The sequence below is a fragment of the Homo sapiens genome, chromosome 8, assembly GCF_000001405.40.
Source record: "Homo sapiens chromosome 8, GRCh38.p14 Primary Assembly".
In the NCBI taxonomy this organism is placed as follows: Eukaryota; Metazoa; Chordata; class Mammalia; order Primates; family Hominidae; genus Homo; species Homo sapiens.
In genome coordinates this window covers 36,239,498-36,259,886 of record NC_000008.11, presented here as the reverse complement: position 1 = coordinate 36,259,886, position 20,389 = coordinate 36,239,498, and the positions used below count along the sequence as shown (strand labels likewise).

The following is a 20,389-nucleotide window of genomic DNA, read 5'->3' as shown; positions in this document are numbered from 1 at the left end:
TGATCTATGTGTCTATTTTGGTACCAGCACCATGCTATTTTGGTTACTGTAGCCTTGTAGTATAGTTTGAAGTCAGGTAGTGTGATGCCTCCTGCTTTGTTCTTTTTGCTTAGGATTGTCTTGGCTATATGGGCTGTTTTTTGGTTCCATATGAAATTTAAAGTCATTTTTTTCTAATTCTGTGAAGAAGGTCAATAATAATAAGAGCTATTTATGACAAACCCACAGCCAATATTATACCGAATGGGCAAAAGCGGGAAGCATTCCCTTTGAAAACCAGCACAAGACAAGGATGCCCTCTCTCACCACTCCTATTCAGCATAGTATTGGAAGTTCTGGCCAGGGGAACAACGCAAGAGAAAGAAATAAATGGTATTCAAACAGGAAGAGAGGAAGTCAAATTGTCTCTGTTTGCAGATGACATGATTGTATATTTAGAAAAACCGCATTATCTCAGCCCCAAATCTCCTTATTAAGCTGATAAGCAATTTCAGCAGTCTCAGGGTACAAAATCAATGTGCAAAAAATCAGAAGCATTCCTATACACCAATAATAGACAAACAGAGAGCCAAATCATGAGTGAACCCCCATTCACAATTGCTACAAAGAAAATAAAATACCTAGGAATCCAACTTACAAGGGATGTGAGGGACCTCTTCAAGGAGAACTACAAACTGCTACTCAAGGAAATAAGAAAGGACACAATCAAATGGAAAAATATTCCATGCTCATGGATAGGAAGAATCAATATTGCAAAAATGGCCATACTGCCCAAAGTAATTTATAGATTCAATGCTATCCCCATCAAGCTACCAATAACACATTATTTGCTAAGGATCCTCTTGAGAGTGACAGTTTTGCAGACTTTCCTTATTTTTGATGGCCCTGACAGTTTTGAAGAATACTAGTTAGGAATTTTGTAGTATGTCACTTAAGAAATAAAAATAAAATTCTAAGCCACCAAATGATTGAACAGATCTGCTCTTGGCCAAGGGGACCCCAGAAAAAATCTTGAAAATGGACTTCATGGCAATGAGATAGATGGGAGGTTGAGCACACCTCATTATACCCCTTCACTCACTAACTACTTTGATGATTTCTTCCCTAAGGACTAAACAGAAACAAGCCCTTGCAAGACTCCACACCTGGCTTCAACCAAACCTCATTGCTGCCCCTCCCTTTTGCAATTTTTGACAGAACTGACCAGCATTTCTTCCTGATAAGAGACTACCAACTGACTACAGAGTGGTTCTGGTCAGTCTACAGAGGATGAACAGTGAGAATTTTTGTGTCCTTTGCTTCACCTTTGAAATCAGAGGACCAAAAACTCCACCCCAGGATTATGCTAACACTGCCATCTTTTATACATGGGACCCATGAAGAAGCACAAAGCTCAGTTGCACATGCACACATTTCTCCTTTCACAAATATTCATGGATCTGCCTACAGCTTATTGAATGTGTATATTTGGCCATTCTGCACTGCATATATTTCTGTCCCCTTCGTTCCTCCCTTCAAGTGCCTCTTTCTGGCTTCTAACCAGAAGCTTCCCTGCTGGTCAGAATGGCCACCCTGCAGGCTGTAGCACTTTGTATGAGAAATAAAGCTCTTCTTTCCAAATTTATGACCTCATTAGTCTTCAACTGACACTCTCAAGTAGAGTTTGTCTGATGTTTTTTTTCTCATGGTTACACTGGGATTATGAGTTTTAGAGAAGAAGTCTAGTATAGAGCTCAGAATATAGCACCCTAAAATATGATTCTAGGGGCCAGAACATGCTGCTTCAAAGGAAGCCTGTTTAGCATAAGGAGTATTTTGAGCTGTTATTTTGAGAAACTGCAGACACAGGAGAAGCTCTGAGAAGTTACTTGTTTGTATGAAAAATTTACATATAAAGGAAATCTCCATTTGTAAGGGTGTCTTCCCCTCTGCACTAGGAAGAGAAGGATGACTAAATCATTAGAGATTATTATCAATGGCATGAATTTAAATCTGCAATACAAGGTTTTGTTTTACAGCTAACTGGGACTTTCCCCAGTCACTTCTTTATTTCTGAGAAAGATGATATTTAGTCTGAAGTCTAAGAGAGTTCTTTGAGTTCTACTCCAGAGATTTACTCATGTCTCTGGATATCTCCCAGAATATAACTCCTGATGTATACCTCTGGTGTACATATATTAAACTCCTGTTTGTTTTCCTCTTGTTTATCTGTCTTTTCATAGAGGAAATCCCAGCTAAGAACTCATTAAGGGTGAAGGAGAAAATTATTTTTCTCTTCTACATCTACAAAGATAAAATACCCTTCTCATTATATCATACAAAGGGTACATGCTATCAACATGACTTATCACTCATGATCTTAGCCTTGATTATGCTGAATAGTGCTTGCCAGGTTTCTGCACTGGAAAGTTACTTTTTTGTTCCATGTTTCATATGTACTTCTTGGGAGTAAGGTACAAAGTACAGCCCACATTTCAGGGGTAGGTAGTTATGCTCTATGTCCTTGAGGGAAGAAAATTTATATAAATTATTTGGAATTATTTTGTATGGACAATTTGTATCTTATCTCTTATTTATCTGTTTATTCATTCATTCAATTAGTTATTTATATCAATATGAATTCATAGATAGGTATTTTATACTTTGCATTATGCTTTGGATTATAATCCAATACTATATTACATATATGTATACATATACACACATATATATATATACACACACACACACACACACATATATCTCAAATAGTTCTAATTTTAGCCATTGGGAGCTCTTTCAATTGGCTCCTGTGTCCCTATAATATTACTTTTTGGAGCTCTCTTTTACTTTCTGGCACTACAAGATGCTCCAGGCTCATTTGACATATTCCCTGCCTCAGTCCTCAAATCAGCCATTTTTCTAAGTAGCACTGGTTCATTTAACTGGCAAATGGTATTAGAAACTGAGATTTGCATGCTAGTAATCAGGTCATCTTATAGATTACATAACTGAAGCTCAGAGATGTTAAGGGATTTGTTCAAGGTCCAAAGGTGACTACTAGCAAAGCTAACACTGGAATACAAGTATCTTGATGCCTGGATCACTAACCCTGCCTTACGCCACCTTGACTTCTCACATTCCAGGGCATGTAAATGAGAAACTATGTCCTTTGTTCCTGTAGTCGGGACATTCCAAGTATCCTGCACTTATGCATTTGTATTTACGCAGGACTTGGAAGCCCTGCCATGAAAGAGAAGATGAAAGCAAGAGAAACACAGTTATCTTAATAACAACAAAAGAAACAATGAGGAGCCATTTCCTCAAGCAAGGGTGAGGCTTAGGTTATACAGAAAATATCAGGTGTGTTCTTTTATGCTTAGAAAATCTGTGAAACTTATTTGAGTACATGGCTTATCACTTCCCAGATTTTTATCAGTTTGTCACATTCTTTTTAAACATATATCTTTAAAGCCACATAGACCCAGAGCAAGGATACCTGCACACACATCTCTAAAGTTTAAAAAAGACTCTTGCCAGGCACAGTGGCTCACGCCTGTAATCCCAGCACTTTAGGAGGCCGAAGCGGGTGAACCACCTGAGATCAGGAGTTTGAGAACAGCTTGATCAACATCGTGAAACCTCATCTCTACTAAAAATGCAGAATTAGCCAGGCAAGGTGAAGCATGCCTATCATGCCTATAATCCCAGCTACTTGGGAGACTGAGGCAGGCAGGAAAATCACTTGAACCGGGAGGTAGAGGTTGCAGTGAGACAAGATTGTGGCACTGCATTCCAGCCTGGGCAATAAGAGTGAAACTTCATCTCAAAAAAAGCAAAAAAAAAAAAAAAAAAAAAAAGACTCATATAGCTAAGAATTTGAAATCGATTATAAGATAATAAGAAATAATGTGTATTGTTCCTTTTGGAGGGACATATGTAGCACATTTTCCTTTAGTCTCTTTGAGATGTGCATGATGTTTTTATTAATTATTAAATAAAACAGCAAAAATGAAAATTATTTGGTATCAGAGGTCAAGCAGAGTACACATATCACCTTATTAAACATATTATATAGCCCAGTTGAAACTGCCTGATGGGTTCTTCTTGCTCATTGCACAGATAAACCCAATTCACTGAGACAGTGTTATTGCAGTAAAGAAAACATTTGTTTAATGAAAGGCCAGCCAAGCAGAAGGACAGGAGCTTGTTATTACTCAAGTCAGCCTCTCTGAGAACTCAGAGACTAGGGTTTTTATCGATAATCTGGTGGGCAGGGGCTAGGAAATGGGTGCTGCTGATCAGTTCTAAGTCAAATCATAGGGGTGTGGAAAATGGTTCCTCCTGCACTGAATCCACCTCTGGGTGAGGGCCAGAGGGCCAATTCAGTCATGAGTCACAAGTCCAGGTGGGGTCAGTCACTTCCCAGAAAACAAAAGTCTGAAAAATATCTGAAAAGACCAATCTTAGGTTCTACAATAGTGATATTATCTACAGGAACAATTGGAGAAGTCACAAACCTTGTGAACTCTGGCCACATGACTCCTGAACAGTAAGAGATTATAGAAAAACTAAGGGCCAGACACAGTGGCTCACACCTGTAATCCCAGCACTTTGGGAGGCCAAGGCAGGTGGGTCACCTGAGGTCAGGAGTTTGAGACCAGCCTGGCTAACATGGCAAAAATCCCTCCACTAAAAATACAAAAATTAGCTGGGCATGCTGGTGCGTGTCTGTAATCCCAGCTACTCAGGTGGCTGAGGCAGAAGAATTGCTTGAACCCAGGAGGCAGAGGTTGCAGTGAGCTGAGATTGCGCCACTGTGCTCTAGCCTGGGACAGAGCGAGACTCTGTCTCAAAAAAAGAAAAGAAAGAGAGAAAGAAAGAAAGAAATAGAGAGAGAGAGAGAGAGAAAGGAAGGAAGGAAGGAAGAAGGAAGGAAGGAAAGAAAGAAAGAAAGAAAGAAAGAAAGAAAGAAAGAAAGAAAGAAAGAAAGAAAGAAAGAAAGAATGAAAGAAAGAAAGAAAGAGAAAGAAAGAAAACGAATGAACTAGGGGACAATGGCTGGTTATTGTTTAGCTACCCCTGTTTCTTAGCAGAATTCAGGCCCCTCCCATAATCCTTATCCTGTGGCCTTTCATTAGTCTTACCAAGACAGTTTCAGTACTTGAAGGAGGAAGGCATCAGTTTTAGGGAGGGACTATTATCATCATTGCTTTCAAGTTAAACTGTGAATTAAATTCCTCCCATGGTTAACTTGGCCTATGCCCAGGAATGAAGGAGGATAGCTAGCCCGTGAGGCCAGAAGCAAGATGGAGTCAGCCATGGTAGTCTTCTCTGGATGTCATAATCTTTGCAAAGGCAGTTTCACAATTTCTATTTTTAAATTCATTAGATCATTCTCGTATTTGAGCCTTAGGTTAATTGTTTTTTTATCTACATGTGTGTTCCCAGTAGATTCCATATGGGAATTTGGATAAATTTGATACATTTTGATAAATAGCAACTAGTAATGCTTATAACTACTGTTAGTTATTACTAAGATTGTTCTAGCCATTATGGATGATATAAAGATGAATTAGTCCCAGAGCTTGCTGGTAAGGGTAACCCTAAAACATAACTCACTGTTGACTTCCATTGCTCCCAGTACAATGTAATATACAGAATAAGCATTAAGCAAGCAATCCTTGTTTAACAAATTAATAGTCAATCTATACAGTATTGAGCTTTTGCAGTCTCCACTGGTAATTGTTTCAATTAAAGTATTTACATTGTAATTAGTCAATAATGCAAATTGTGTGTTGGAAAGGCTTTTAATAATTATTTCTGTATGCTATCAATATCTTTGTAGTTTTGATAATAAATCCAGAAAAGTAAAACTGAGCCCATGACTGTGTAAAGCCTCTTCTTTATTTCATAACTGAAGAAGTGTGAGATATCTCTGAGGTAACATTTTCCTGAATGGCCATGCCTGTTGGTCATCCAAATTATTCCCAATAGTAAAGACAGATTTAACCACTCAAATTTTATTTTTTAAGTGGAAATTATATTTTAGATATACATTCTTAAAGCAATTTCTGTCAATTATTTTAATTTTAGCATATGAAATAAAGAATTTGACATAATGTTGAAATATATGTAAATTGTTCAACTTCCAAAATGTCAAGTTTTTTCACCTTCCAATTATTTTTCAATTTATTCTAAATCAGTATTTTATATGGGATTGCAATTCATGCCAACATATAACATTTATATCAATTACTAGTCATGTAGCAATCAATCTACTGCCATCTAGTACCAAATGTCTAATGCAGGCAAAGCATTTCATACAATAGTAAAAATAATCACATTTCTACTTACATTTACAATGGCTCATCAATATCTATCTCTGATTTATTGAAACACTATTGAAGGAATATAGTCAGAGTTACAGCTAAGGTATTTTATTGAGAGGCCATTTTTTACTGGCTTGTACTAAATAAAGCTAATTGATGTTAAAAGCAGTATCTTAAAGGGCTTGTTAAGAAATTTTTAGTCTCCAAAATACATAGATTTCTTTTTTTTCCTGATTTATATAAATTGAACATATTTATATCTTCTCTAAAGCAGTTTATTCCCAATCTCAAGTGGACAAGAACGGTTGTTTCTTTTATAGCCCTTTTTAGGTGTCCACAACCTTCATAATGAGTGGTTGAGTTTGGAAAGTAGCAGATGTTCATTAGGATGTTGCAGCAACTTTTCCAGCTGGTCCACATAAACCTTCAACCATATACCTGGAAAACCCAGTGGAGTTGATGTAAGCATATTGGTTAGTGTTATTTGTGTAAAGGATGCTGCTTTGCATCTTACTGTAAATCTCTCAAGCTCCCCAGTTTCTGACTCCATAGGAAGAGAAAGTTTTTCAGAACTAATTTATCAGTGGAATAAAGATACATATATTAAATATGGATCATCTTTAACTTTATTCTTAAATTTTAGCTCTTTTCTTTATTCTTGCTTTATTATTTTTAGGGTCTTTGTAAACTTCTTTGGTTTTGGTTAATTTGTTATTTTAGGAAAGCTCAAGTGAGTCCTGGTTTCCTATTAATTTGAAGAACATCTTGAGTAGAATAGAATCAAATCCCTAAATCCAAAGGAACAGAATAATATTCCCTAAACTGATCAAATTGAAATGAACCTATGAGAAAAGGTAAAGGCATTTGTGAAAATGAACTAAAAGTTTATCCCCCACTTTCTAAATCCTGTCGAATGCTCAACACACTGAAGGCTGAGTTCTGGTCTTCAGTCCGGCATATCATCATTCTCTGCACTGACATTTGGACTAACTTCACTGATCTATAAAGATTTCATTTTCCTCTTTGAGGATTAGGTGAAATTCTTCCCATCTAACAAAGGAGCAGACTATTAACACACCCACATTGCTAGTTTTCCTTTTGGTAAGTGAGGTAATCCAAAAACTGTAACAATCCATGGTTTAAGCTCAGATAACAGTTGTATTCTGAATATCTGAATGCTCAGCTTTAGGGAATTTTGAACATTACCCATATTTTCAAGGTGCTAAGAGAAAGATCTGTACCAACATTTTATCTTCTCAGAGCATATAAAACAAAATTGGATTTGCAAAGCATCATCCTGAAGGAAGATTAGTCTGCATCAGTAGGTATAAGCTTTAGGGAAAGATTGTGGTGAACATGCTGCTCAGAGGGATTCTGGGGCATCACAACAAGCCCAATACCTGGGGAACCTATATAGGACTCCTTGCTCTTCTCTCTTCTTGCTCTACAATCCCATCGCAAGCCTCTATTTTATGCCTATTTCTTCAGGGTCAAGATTTGTGGAATGTCAGTAAAATCAGGGGTTCACAGACTATGGCCTATGAGCCAAATCTGCCCCCATTGCCTGTTTTGGTAAATGAAGTTTTATTGCCAGCTGTGGTGGTTCACTCCTGTAACCTCAGCACTTAGGGAGACCGAGGCAGGGAGGATCACTTGAGGCCAGGAAATTTGAGACCAGCCTGGGCAATATAAGATGACTCTGTCTCCACAAATTAAAAAAAAAAAAAAAACTGGGAGTGGTGGCATGCACCTATCATCCCAACTACTTAGGAGGCTGAGGTGGGAGGATTGCTTGAGCCCAGGAGTTTGAGGCTGCAGTGAATTATGATTGCACCACTGCACTCCAGCCTGGGTAAAAGAGCAAGGCTCTGCCTCAAAAAAATAAAGTTTCATTGGAACATAGACACACATTCATTTACACGCTGACTATGGCTGCTTTTCGGCTACAGCCTAGCCTATCTTCTTTCTTACCCTTCAAAACAAAAAAAATGCTGGCCTTGAACTGAAGGATCGACTGATAACTTTGAATGTGTAAACACTGTGGTGGTTTGCTGACTCAAAAGGCCAGGACAGACCACATACATCACTTATATTTCTTCATTGAATAAAACAGCATTTTAAACCCCAGACCATTTTCTCATTTCCACTCTGAAAAGAGAACTATGTGGTACAAGTTAAGAAAAAAAAAAAAAAAAAGCCCGGCAGGAAGGAAACTAGGAATAGTTCATCTGACTTCATTACTTTTCCCACATAAGTGACTCAAAAACGCGGAGAATATTGTGGACAGTGGCACTCCGTGTTTCTTTACAGCTCATCATTACTGATGTTGCAAGAAAGCACAGGCTTCTTCACTGCAGGGTTGGGTTCTTTTGCACGCACACGCAGGCATGCACATGCCCACACGCACACATACACACACGCACGCACACACACATACACACACACGCAGGCATATACACACACACATGCACACACACACAGACATGCACGGAGCTACTCTCCGTGGACACCTAGCCCCTTGCCTCACTTTTTAAGTCCACTCAGGTGCTGGCCGCCAGCTGGCGTAAATGACAGATGATGCTAACTTTCAACAGATGTCTTTCTGACCCCAAAGATAATGGAAATGACAAATAATAACTTTGTAATTACCTTAACTTCAACCAAAGCAGAAGCTGAAAAATCACCAGATGAGAACTGCAGGGGACATGTGGGACGGACTTTCCCATTAAGCATGCTTAAGTGTCCCCTGTGCTGTGCAGCTCAGGAGCTGTGCCAGGAGGGCATGGAAGGCAGCCGAACATGCACCCAACCATAAATCTTCTTGGCCCCCTGATAAACAAACAAGACTTCAACATCTGCACTCACAGCTGACTAGAAATGGAGAAATGAAGATTAAATGGGAACTGGGGCACTGTCAGAGCTGGGAGCTTTACAGTTCCTTGGATCCTATAAAAGTCCTCTAATCAAAAATACATTTTAAATGCTCACATTTCATTTTTCTTTTCTGTTTTCTGGGACTGGTCCATGAGAAGAAACAATAGGAGAAACAAAAATGGCAAATAAAATTTGAACTGATGAGAGGAGAGTGTGCCTTTTGCTGGTATTCTAGGTGTGAGAAGTGGTTTAGACAACTATCCTGAAATGCAGTGCACCGTTTCGAATCTTGAACAATTCTGGCATGGTTGCCTGGGTTTCACGAGATTTCTGAGCACGTTGAGACTTTTCTTTATTTTTAAAAGTCTGGAGCTTGTTTGAGCTATGTCTGAATCACCACCCAGATATAAATTTTTTTAGTTTGACTGAAAATTCTGACCATGCTGTCTACACCTGGATTGAAATCAATCAATCAGTCTCTGGATAGAAACAACTCTCACTTGTGATGACGAACTGTATGTGTCAACCTGACTGAGCCAGGAAGCACCCAGATATTCTAGGTGTTTCTTAGAGGGTGTTTTTGGATGCAAGTAACATTTAAATTAGTAGACTGAGTAAAGTAGATAGTCCTCCCTAACAGGGCAAGGCCTCATCCAATCCCTAATCCGTCAAGGGCTTAAATAGAATAAAAGGGCTGACTCTTCCTTGGGTAAGAGATTTTTTTTTTCTGCCTAATGGCTCTCAAGCTGCAACATTAGCTTTTTTTCTGCCTTTGGACTTGCTCTGAAACATCAGCTCTCCCTGAGTGTGGAGCCAGCTGATCCTTGGACTGGAGCTACACCCACAACCCTCCTGGGTCTCCAGTTGGATGACTCACCTTGCAGATCTTGAGATTTGTCAATCTCCATAATCACATGGGCCACCTCTCTAGAATACACCTTTTTCTATGAAGACATATCTTGGGATTCATAAAACAATACCCAATGTAAGGGTCTCAAAAGCAAAAGTTTTCTCTGATTTTTCTCCTGCCTTCCTGTCTCTCAGTCCTGTCTCTCTCCCTCAAGGCTAGCCATAAAAGCTAGAATTTGTATTCCTCAAGGAAGGTCATAGAAACCAGAACCCCTTTTCCCTAAAGCTAGCCATCAAACCTAGAAATATTAGTCTAATTTCCCCCTACCTTTCTGTGTATAAACTGGCCATAAACAAATGATCTGACTTACTTTGTTTGACTGTAGGTCATAAGACCTCCATTTCAGAGAGGGTCCTGCCCCATACCCAGAGCAAAAGAATGCTGCTCAGAGAGGCCAAGAAGAATCTAGACAGACAGGCCTTGCTCAGTTTCCCCACTCAGTCTAGGAACATTAGGGCATACACTTTTTGTCCAATCCTATTTCTACATGGCTATTCATATTTATTGAACTTATGCATACAAATGGATAATTTCTCCTGTATCACTGGGTCATCATTCTGAAGGCTCCCATGTACACACATTAAATAAATTTGTGTGCCTTTCTCCAATGAATGAGCCTCTTACGAGCTGATTTTTCAGTGAACATTCAGGGGCCCAAGGGCATTGGCTCCTACATATACATCCAATTGGTTCTGTTTCTCTGGAGAACACTGACTGGCCATCAAATCTGAGGGTAATATCTTAGGACAGCATGAGATATCAACAATCTTATGATTGAAATCTTCCTGTATCTTCCTGCCATTGATACTTGTTATCCCCCTTGTAGCTATAATAGAGCAAGCCATATGACGACCATTGTCATTATCTGCGTTTGCAGGCTAACCACTCCAACTTGATCAAACCCTTCCTCATTAGAGGTAATTGTGAGTTCTTCCACCCTCTGTGTCACTCTTTTCTACATGTCCTCCAGTCTGTCTATATCCCACTTGAAGTGTGGTATACAGCCTTCTCTAGGTGAGAGTGGCATCATAACCTGAATCCTAGTGCCACATATCTACTCACCTTGCAGGGTATGTTGTCATTAGCTGTTTTGATGATTATATGAATGTTCTTACCCACATTAGCTTAAATACTGCTGCTAAACTAAATGTTTCTGCTAAATTGCATCTTGGTACAATAAGTTTTTGTTTGTTTTGTTTTGATTTTGTTTTTTGAACTACAAAAGCCTATTCTTGTTTTTTGTTTGTTTGAGATGGAGTCTCACTCTGTCATCCAGGGTGGAGCACAGTCATGCAATATCAGCTCACTGCAATCTCTGCCTCCTAGGTTCAAGCAATTCCCCTGCCCCAGCCTCCCAAGTAGCTGGGATTACAAACATGTGCCACTACACCTGGCTAATTTTTTGTATTTTTAGTAGAGATGAGGTTTCACCATATTTCCATCCAGGCTGGTCTCAAACTCCTGGCCTCAAGTGATCTGCTGCCCTCGGCCTCCCAAAGTGCTGGAATTATAAGCGTGAGCCGCCATACCTGGCTTCCAATCTTTCATCTAGGCTCCAGAACCAATTCCATCACCTACTGGGATGTCCACAGATATCCTACTGCAGTGAGCTTCAAGAGGAAAGAAATTTCTGTTTGTTTTATCCACTGCTGCATGCCAAGTGCCTAATGTACTCTCTGGCATCTAGGAGGTTCTCTACAAATATTTTTGAATGAATAAGCAAATTAATGTTTTGTGTTTTTTTTTGAGACAGGATCTCACTCTGTCACCCAGGCTGGAGTGCTGTGGCACAATCATAGCTCACTGCAGCCTCAACCTTTAGGGCTCAAGTGAGCCCCCCACCTCAGCATCCTGTGTAGCTGCGACTACAGGCACATGCCACCATGCTTGGTTAATTTTTTTGTAGAGACGAGGTTTCGCCATGTTGCCCAGGGTGGTCTTGAACACCTGGGCTCAAATGATCCACCCACCTCAGCCTCCTAAAGTGCTGGGATTACAGGCATGAGCCACCATGCCTGTCCAATAAATGAACTTTAAATGTAACATGCTCAAGTACGGTCTTATTATCTTATTCCACTTGCAATATACACTCTCAGGAGTGTGGTGCTGCCATCTCTGCAGCTACTAAAGCAAAAATTTGAGAGTCATCTTGCATTTCACTCTCTGCCTCATCTTACATATCCAATTACATCTCAAGGAACACAGATTTTTCCCAGAGTGTCTCTCAAATTGATTCAGTTTTCCCTTTCTCATCATTACTGCCATAGTTTAGGTCCTTATCTTTCCTCTATTGATGTTTTTTAATAGCCTCCTAAATGAATTACTGACTTTATTATCATCCCCATTCTTTTAATCCATTTATTCTTCATATTGCTGTCAAAGCTCTCTTTCTGAAATACAAATCTGATCAAATTATTGTACTGCTTAAAATTATTTATGGCTTCTCATGATTGTCACAATAAAATACAAATTCCTTAGCAAGCATCCATCATTTTAAGCTCTTTCATGAACTGGCCCATTCCCACCACTTCAGCTCCATTTTGTTTACTTTGACACCAAGTGCTCTGTTTTCCAGTGGTAATGAACATACCACACTCTCCTGTCTGACCTCTGCATGTGTTATAACCTTTACTTCTCCCCTTTATTTATAGAATTAACTACAACTCACCAAACCATTCAGGAGGTGGTTGCGGATCACCCCCAGGCTGGGTAAGACTCTTGTCTGCACTCACAGAACACCTGTGCCCACCTTTAGTTGTAGACAATCAAAATCAAGTGTGATAAGGGCATTCTCTCACACTTGATCCTAAAATTGGGTGAACTTGTAATCTGAGTGCACAATCCCAGGTTCAGGACATATTAAGTCCTCAGCTGAATGAATTGCACCCTATTAAGCAGGGCGAAAGGTGGGAGATGAAAAGTACTAAGAGAATGAGAGGCATTTCAGGACAGGTCATCCGTGTGAGCAAAGGCACCGAGGCAAGAGAACGTGGCTTGTGTCTGGGGGACTGTGAACCAGGCACATAGATGTTAGGGAGGGAGGAGGGCAGCAGAGGGCTAGAAAAAAGGCTGTTTGTTACAAGGAGAATTTCAGAGGTCAGTGAGTTGCCATCTGGCCTTACTGCAGACCTAGTATTCCATTTCTAGTCTTCTAGCAAGCCATAAGTTTTGTGCGTCCTTCTGACTTTCCTCTGGGTGTCCCACATCTCACATTTTGCACTGTCTCCCCTTCATCAGCAATAACAGCAAAAGTTGCTGAGTTCAGCACCTATTATCTTGTTAGCAAGACTTTCTCTTCAGTGCTTCCTCTTTGCAACTCAGTCTCTCTAATGCTGACTACTAAAATGACTTGATGTCCAGATGTAGATTCAACATCTGAGTCAGGAGCACTGAAATCTGCGCCTGCATTGTGGAAATGTGCTGGCAGATGTGACCATGATTTGTCTGTTGACATTCAACTGAACATTTCAAAGCTCTGAATAAAAACTCACGGCCAGGCACGGTGGCTCACGCCTGTAATCCCAGCACTTTAGGAGGCCGACGCAGGAGGATCACCTGAGGTCAGGAGTTCAAGACCAGCCTGGCCAACATGGCAAAACCCTGTCTCTACTAAAAAATACAAAAATTAGCCAGACGTGTTAGTGGGTGCCTGTAATCCCACCTACTCAGGAGGCTGAGGCAGGGAGAATTGCTTGAACCCAGGAGGTGGAGGTTGCAGTGAGCTGAGATTGCACCACTGCACTCCAGCCTGGGCAACAGAGTGAGTAAAAAATAATAATAATAAAAAAAACCTCACATTTATAGAGTACTTATCATGTACCAGGTATGGTTCTAAGTACGCTATATGCATTACCTCATAAAATTTCTATGAAGTACATGCCATTATTTTTCTCATTTTATAGATGAGTTCACTGAGGCACAGAGAGGTTAAGAAAACTTTCCATGGCCACACAACTGACAAGGGCTGGTGTCAGAATTTTTTAAATGTAGCTCTAAAATCCATGAACTTAATCATTATCCTATGTGCCTCTTTAAAATGCATAAGAAGTACAGGACATAGACAGAGTAGAGCTTCTAATATTTACTTTGCTATAAATTGTATAAATTTGAATAAATCAGAATCCCATGAGGCTTAGTGTATTTCTGTCTACAATGAACACATTTGTGTAGAAAAGCTGACTTCAAACATTTTTACTTTTATAGCCTGTAAAAAAATATATTTTTAAAAATATTGTATCCCATTGTACTTTTTAATAATACATCTATTAATAGATTTTCAATTATATGTTTAAACATTTGCAAAGAAAATAGTTTCCAGCATTTTATAATATAGATCTTAAAATGAAACTATTCCACCACTCTTTTAATATAGGTACTTCAGCTTTCTTCTGGTTACCGTTTGCATGTATATCATTTTCCATCTTTTAAATTTCAATCTGTCTGTGCCTTTCAATTTAAATTATGTCTGTTGCACAAGGCATATCATTAGAACTTGTTTCTTTTTTTTTTAATCTAGTCTGATGATCTGTGTCTCTTGACTGGAATCTTTAGTTCATTCATATTTAATGTAAGTATCAATATGGTTGGATTTATGTCTGTCATTTTGCTATTTGCTTTCCATACGTCTCCTTATTTTTCTTGTGGTTTCACTGTTTCTTTTTTACTGCCTTTTTTGTGCTAGACCAATATTTTTTGGTAAACCATTTAAATTACTTTAAGGTTACTCAAAGTAGTTTACTTTACTTTGAGATAGCCATTAATTTTTAAATTAAATTTCAGAGTGGCTCACTCCAGGGGTTGCTAAATGTATCAATATACTTCAGATTAATACTGACCTCATTCTAAAAAAATATAGCTCCATTCCCCTACTTCCTTTCTGCAATTATTGTCATATATATTGCATAGTAATACAGTGTTATAATCATTGCTTTAAACAATCTTATGGGTACTTTTAAGAAATTATGAGAAAAAAACATATATAGTAAGAGTATTCTATACTTACCCACACATTGGTCATTTTCCTGCTCTTCACTCCTTCTTGTGTATTTGAATTAATATCTGGTGTCATTTGCTTTCAGTCCATTGGACTTTCTGGTGGGACAGATATACTAGCAAATAATTTTCCTCGTTTTTTTTGGGGGGATGCCTTTATTTTGCCACATTTTTAAATGATAATTTTGCAGGAAAAAGAAACCTTGAAGACAGTTCATGAACTTCTACAACCTATTAAATGTGAGACAATTAGAACTTGGGGTGGCATTCCCCAAAAAGTGTAGTCTGTGGCCATTCATTTGCTATGAAATATCCATGATCTAGCATAGTTGAAAAACATTAGTTTCTTTGCAATAAGGATTCTGAGTCTTTCAACCGCTAATACATGTCTTGACTCAAAGAAGGTAGGGCTTGCTTTCTAAAACTCTTTTGACTATTGGGAACTTTTTCTACTGAGCATCTTGCTTCACTGTTGTTCGACAAAGAATAATGGCAACCAAAATGAGTGACTGAGGCAAAGGTCTGAATCATTGAATTTTGTTAAGCCAGCATTAAAGCATGTCCAGGAAAAATAGGAACCACAGAGACATCTATGGCTGTATTTCTTTTTTCTTTTCTTCCTTTCTTTTTATTGTTGCTATTGTTTAAGAAGGGTCTTGCTCTGTCACCCAGGCTGGCATGATGATGGCTTACTACACTTTTAAACTTCTGGGCTCAAGGGATCCTCCTACCTCAGCCTTCTGAGTAGTTGGGACTACAGGTGCATGCCACCTTGCCCAGCTGATTTTTGTATTTATTGTTGAGATGAAGTTTTACCACATTGCCCAGGCTGGTCTCAAACTCCTGGGCTCAAGGGATCCTCTCACTCCGGTCTCCCAAAGTGCTGGGATTACAGGTGTACAGGTGTGAGCCACCATGCCCAGCCCTGTGGTTGTTTTTCTGAAGAAGTTTTCAGGAGGTTTAGTACGTATACGTTTCCTTAAATGGAGGAAAGGCAGGTAGGCAGAGGGGCAAGTAAGATGCAAGATGAATGGTTACATTCTTGTGAGACCTTGGTTAGTATTCAGTAAATCTAGCTATATTTTACATAAGAGAAGGTGAATGTTTGAAGAGAAAAAGGCAGTAAAAGAAGAATCAATTATGCAGACCTCTCTTGGAAGGTGGAAGAATTAGTCTAGTCTTTGTCCTGCACCTGGGAAGACAACATTATCTATGTGGAATCAAACAGACTTTAGTTTCAGGAGCTAGACTTGGATTGTAGACCTAAAGTTATAATTGGCATGTCCTTGTTTAGGGAGACCAGCAAAGAATTTACTTATGGATGATCTGTGGGGGCAGTCCTTCCTAGATCCCTGAGGCCTTTTACCTTTTGTAGGGATCTGCTAAACGTGTAATGTTAGTAACCACTGCTCGTTTGTTTGTAAGAGAGTGTTGCATGACTCAGTCTCTCAGCTTAACCTTTCCTTTTGTATAAGAAGTTTGTGAGCCTTGAGATTTTTTATTTTGCAATATGTTCAAAAATTTTAATATAGTATGGGTAGGTACACTGACACACAGAAGAAACTGAGTGGGACCCAGTGGGTGAAGCCATGGTACGATGAAAAAAAGAGCAGAAGGATTGCATTTCCATCCTATCTACTCCCAGCAGCCTCACAGCAAGGATTATGTTATTGGAGAAGAAAGTCCTTTTAGCAAGGGTTATGACATTTATAGATAATCAAGAAAATATGCTGTGATTTATTTATTATTGGGTGTTTTGTTATTGTTACCTACTACCCTGCATTTAACCACAAAGCTTACTAAGTTATTTGGAATTTGGTCCGTCATCTTCACCTTAATGCACTCACATGCTTGACTGTTATAGTTCAGACTGAATAGAAAAATATATATATATATTTGGCAATTTAAACATCCCTATTTTATAATTACATTTTGATTGCTGAGGCATTATCAGGGCATCCTGCAAAGCTCAACAAATGCAAACCTAATTCTTTTTTAATACCAACCCCAGGAGGAGGTTAACTTGAAAACAGTAAGATTTATTTTTGAGCCTGTAGATTATTTTAAATACCTAACTTCTAGATTTTATGCACTATATAGAAGGGAGAAGACAGATTGTCAGAAATCTCTAATAGTTCTTCCCTTCCGAAGTTGCCAGGGAAAGGCACTGAGCTGAGTGGTCAGCTTTATAGTCTGGAAGGTGACTGCGGGAAATCCAATGTACATGACACAAAATATACAACAGCCCCTCAGGTAAGATGCATGAGAATTGGACTACATCCTTTATGGGATTATAATTATTAGTATGATGAACATTTATTTAGCTTTCGCTGTATATAATTTATCCACACAACAATCTTAGGCAGTAGCTAATATTAATTATTCACACTGTAAAGACCAGGAAACTAAGCTAAAAAGATTAACATGCTTAAGGCTTACTGGAGGTCTTGTTTGATTTCATATCTGTTTTTCACCACTGTTCTCCACTGTGGATAACCATTGACAAAGACTCTGTTTGATCAAATCTGAGTCCAGCTCCCCTGAACCCTCTCTCTAAAAATGAAAATTTGTGTACTTCCTTGTAGAGTTCAGTTTTAGCAAAAATCTTGCTAAGTCCGTTTGGTGAGAATTCCCCACCCTCAATAGCTGGTCCCTGATTAAACTCTTCATCCCTGCTATCCCCAGATGATATCAAATTACCCTAGCATTCCTGCAGCAAGAATTCTGTTAGGTCAGTTCAGCCAGAAGTCCTCGCAGCCTTGATGACCCACCAGTGCCCTACCTCCTCATCTTATTCCTTGGTTATTGATATGGTTTCGCTGTGTCCCCACCCAAATCTCATCTTGAATTGTAGCTCCCAAAATCCCCACATGTCATGCGAGGAACCTGGTGGAAGGTAACTGAATCATGGGGGTGGATTTTTCCCATGCTATTCCTGTGATACTGAGTAAGTCTCATGAGATCTGATGGTTTTATAAAGGGCAGTTCCCTTGCACACGCTCTCTTGCCTGCCACCATGTAAGACATGCCTTTGCTCCTCCTTTGCCTTCTGCTATGATTTTGAGGCCTCCTCAGCCATGTGGAACTGTGAGTCTATTAAACCTCTTTCCTTTATAAATTACCCAGTCCTGGGTATGTCCTAATAGCAGACATACCCAAGAACCTGAGAACAGGCTAATACAGTTAGAAATCCCCACTTGTTGTGATTGTCTTTGGAATTATGTCCAATTCTACACTGGAGTTTCTCATCCCCTATTGCAATAGTTTTTTTTTTTTTTTTTTTTTTTTTTAATAAATCTATCTTCACCTCTTCAACCTCTGTTCATCTCTGGCTTTCTTCAACACCATTCAGCAGTACCTCTCAAAGTATGGTTGTTTTAGCAGCAGCCTCAACCTGACTTGGGAATTTGATAGAATTTAAATGCTTGGACCCCATCCCAGACCTACTGAATCTGAAATTGGGGATAGGACCCAGCCACCTGTGCTTTAACAAGCCCTATAGGTGATTCTGGCACTCTGGAAAGTTTTAGAACCCCTGTCATTTAGCACAATACTTGTAAGTGTGGTTTGGATTGAGTTATATTTTAAGAGACAATATCAAGGATTTTTTTTTTTACTAAACATAACAAATCCATCACTCGAGTTTTCAGTGTCAAACTACAAAGCACATTACAGCATATGCCTTAAGTCCTATTTATGGAAATCCTTGACAAGATTTCTGGGTTTTTTGTCTTGTTTCTTATATCAGTAAGTATTCTTGATGTTACTGCATTGTATGGGCACCTGACTCAGCTGCGTTGGGGAGGTCAATCCACTTCTATTCAAATCTTCTGAGCTTCAATTTCCTCAGGTATCTACCCAATTTACCTATGAGAATTCACCAGTATCCAGCACAGTCTCCAGTGCACAGCAGATAATGAATATTCAATAACTAAATAATTGGTTAAATTGCTGGGTAGACTCTAATGCAGATTTCAAATTATTATTCTAGATACTCTTTTGAAAGTGGATTTTAAATTCTGTTGACTATGTCATTGAAGTGGTTATAACAAGAGTCTACCAAAGTCAAGCAATGACATATTTCAATAATGACAAATGCAGTCATTAGTCTCCAAAAAGGAAACCCCTCACCCCCCATGAACCATAGTTCCCAGGTCCTGTGTGGTGGTATTGGGTTAATTTCAAGACGAGGTAAAAATAAAAATGCCATGAAATTTCTGCATTAGTCTCTTGAAATACATGTTCAGGGAAAACCACTCACCATATAAGAATCTATCTTGAGAACTCCCTGCTGTAAGGAAACCCCAAGTAGCTAGCCATGTAGAGAGGCTATATGAATAAAGAAAATACCCAGACTACTACCAACTCTTCCAAGCATCCCAAGTGAGGCACCAGACGTGTGAGTTAAAAGGCCATCATGAACATCCAGCCCAGTTGAGCTTTTAGATAACACTAGCTCCATTTGCCATCATCATTATGATGGCTAAATATAATAGAATGAGTTAAGGGAGAAGGATAGGCACTATATGTAATTTATATCCTTTTGCTAGCTCTAGCAATACATTAGTGTTGCCTAAATGTAGACTGTAAGTGCTCTTATTGTAGGTAAAAAAAACTGAATTTGCATGGCAGTGTTGCATATTGCATAATTTAGTTGGGTTAGAAATTTCATTAACAGCACAGGGAATATTTTTATGAGTGTCCATGAAAGAAAAAAGAATAAAATTTGTATCCTGTTTAAAATTTTATAACTGGAGTTACACTGTACATTAAGTAGATCGGTTTCTAATACCACCAAAGTAAAGTGACAGAATGTTGACTTGTACTGCTTCCATAAAGCTGCAAACACTGGTATCCTGTGAACTAGCACCCAGTTCTCATTGTGACAGCCTGTTCAGAGAGCCAGGTCAATACACATTACATTTGCCACACTGGGGCCTTCCCTATGACACCTGGTAAGCCTATCTAGTTAGCATAATACAGCTTAAAATTTGTCAAATTCCTGATCCCATAAAATCACCTTTTATACTAAAATTACCTGTCTCTTTCTTCCATACCCTCCTTCATCTCCAATATATAGTAGTAGACTAAATGCATACCTTTATGAACTGCTTACCACTTGTCACATAGTATAAATGCTAGCTTTATCCTGCACAACTATAATAAATAATAATCTATTCATAGGCAAATGCATTTCTTAATTCCTTTTATACCCCCTACAGTACCTAGCTTTGTATATTAGAAATTCTTCAATAAGTACATGTTAAATGAGGGAAATGAAAAAATGTATGGTATGCTTGAA

At 38.8% G+C, this 20,389-nt stretch overlaps 1 long non-coding RNA gene across 1 annotated transcript in view; it reads right to left on the bottom strand.

Annotated features, from left to right (window-relative positions):
• LOC105379371 (uncharacterized) overlaps window positions 1-20,389 on the bottom strand; it is a 73,309-nt gene that overhangs the window by 8,465 nt on the left and 44,455 nt on the right. The window lies entirely within an intron of this gene.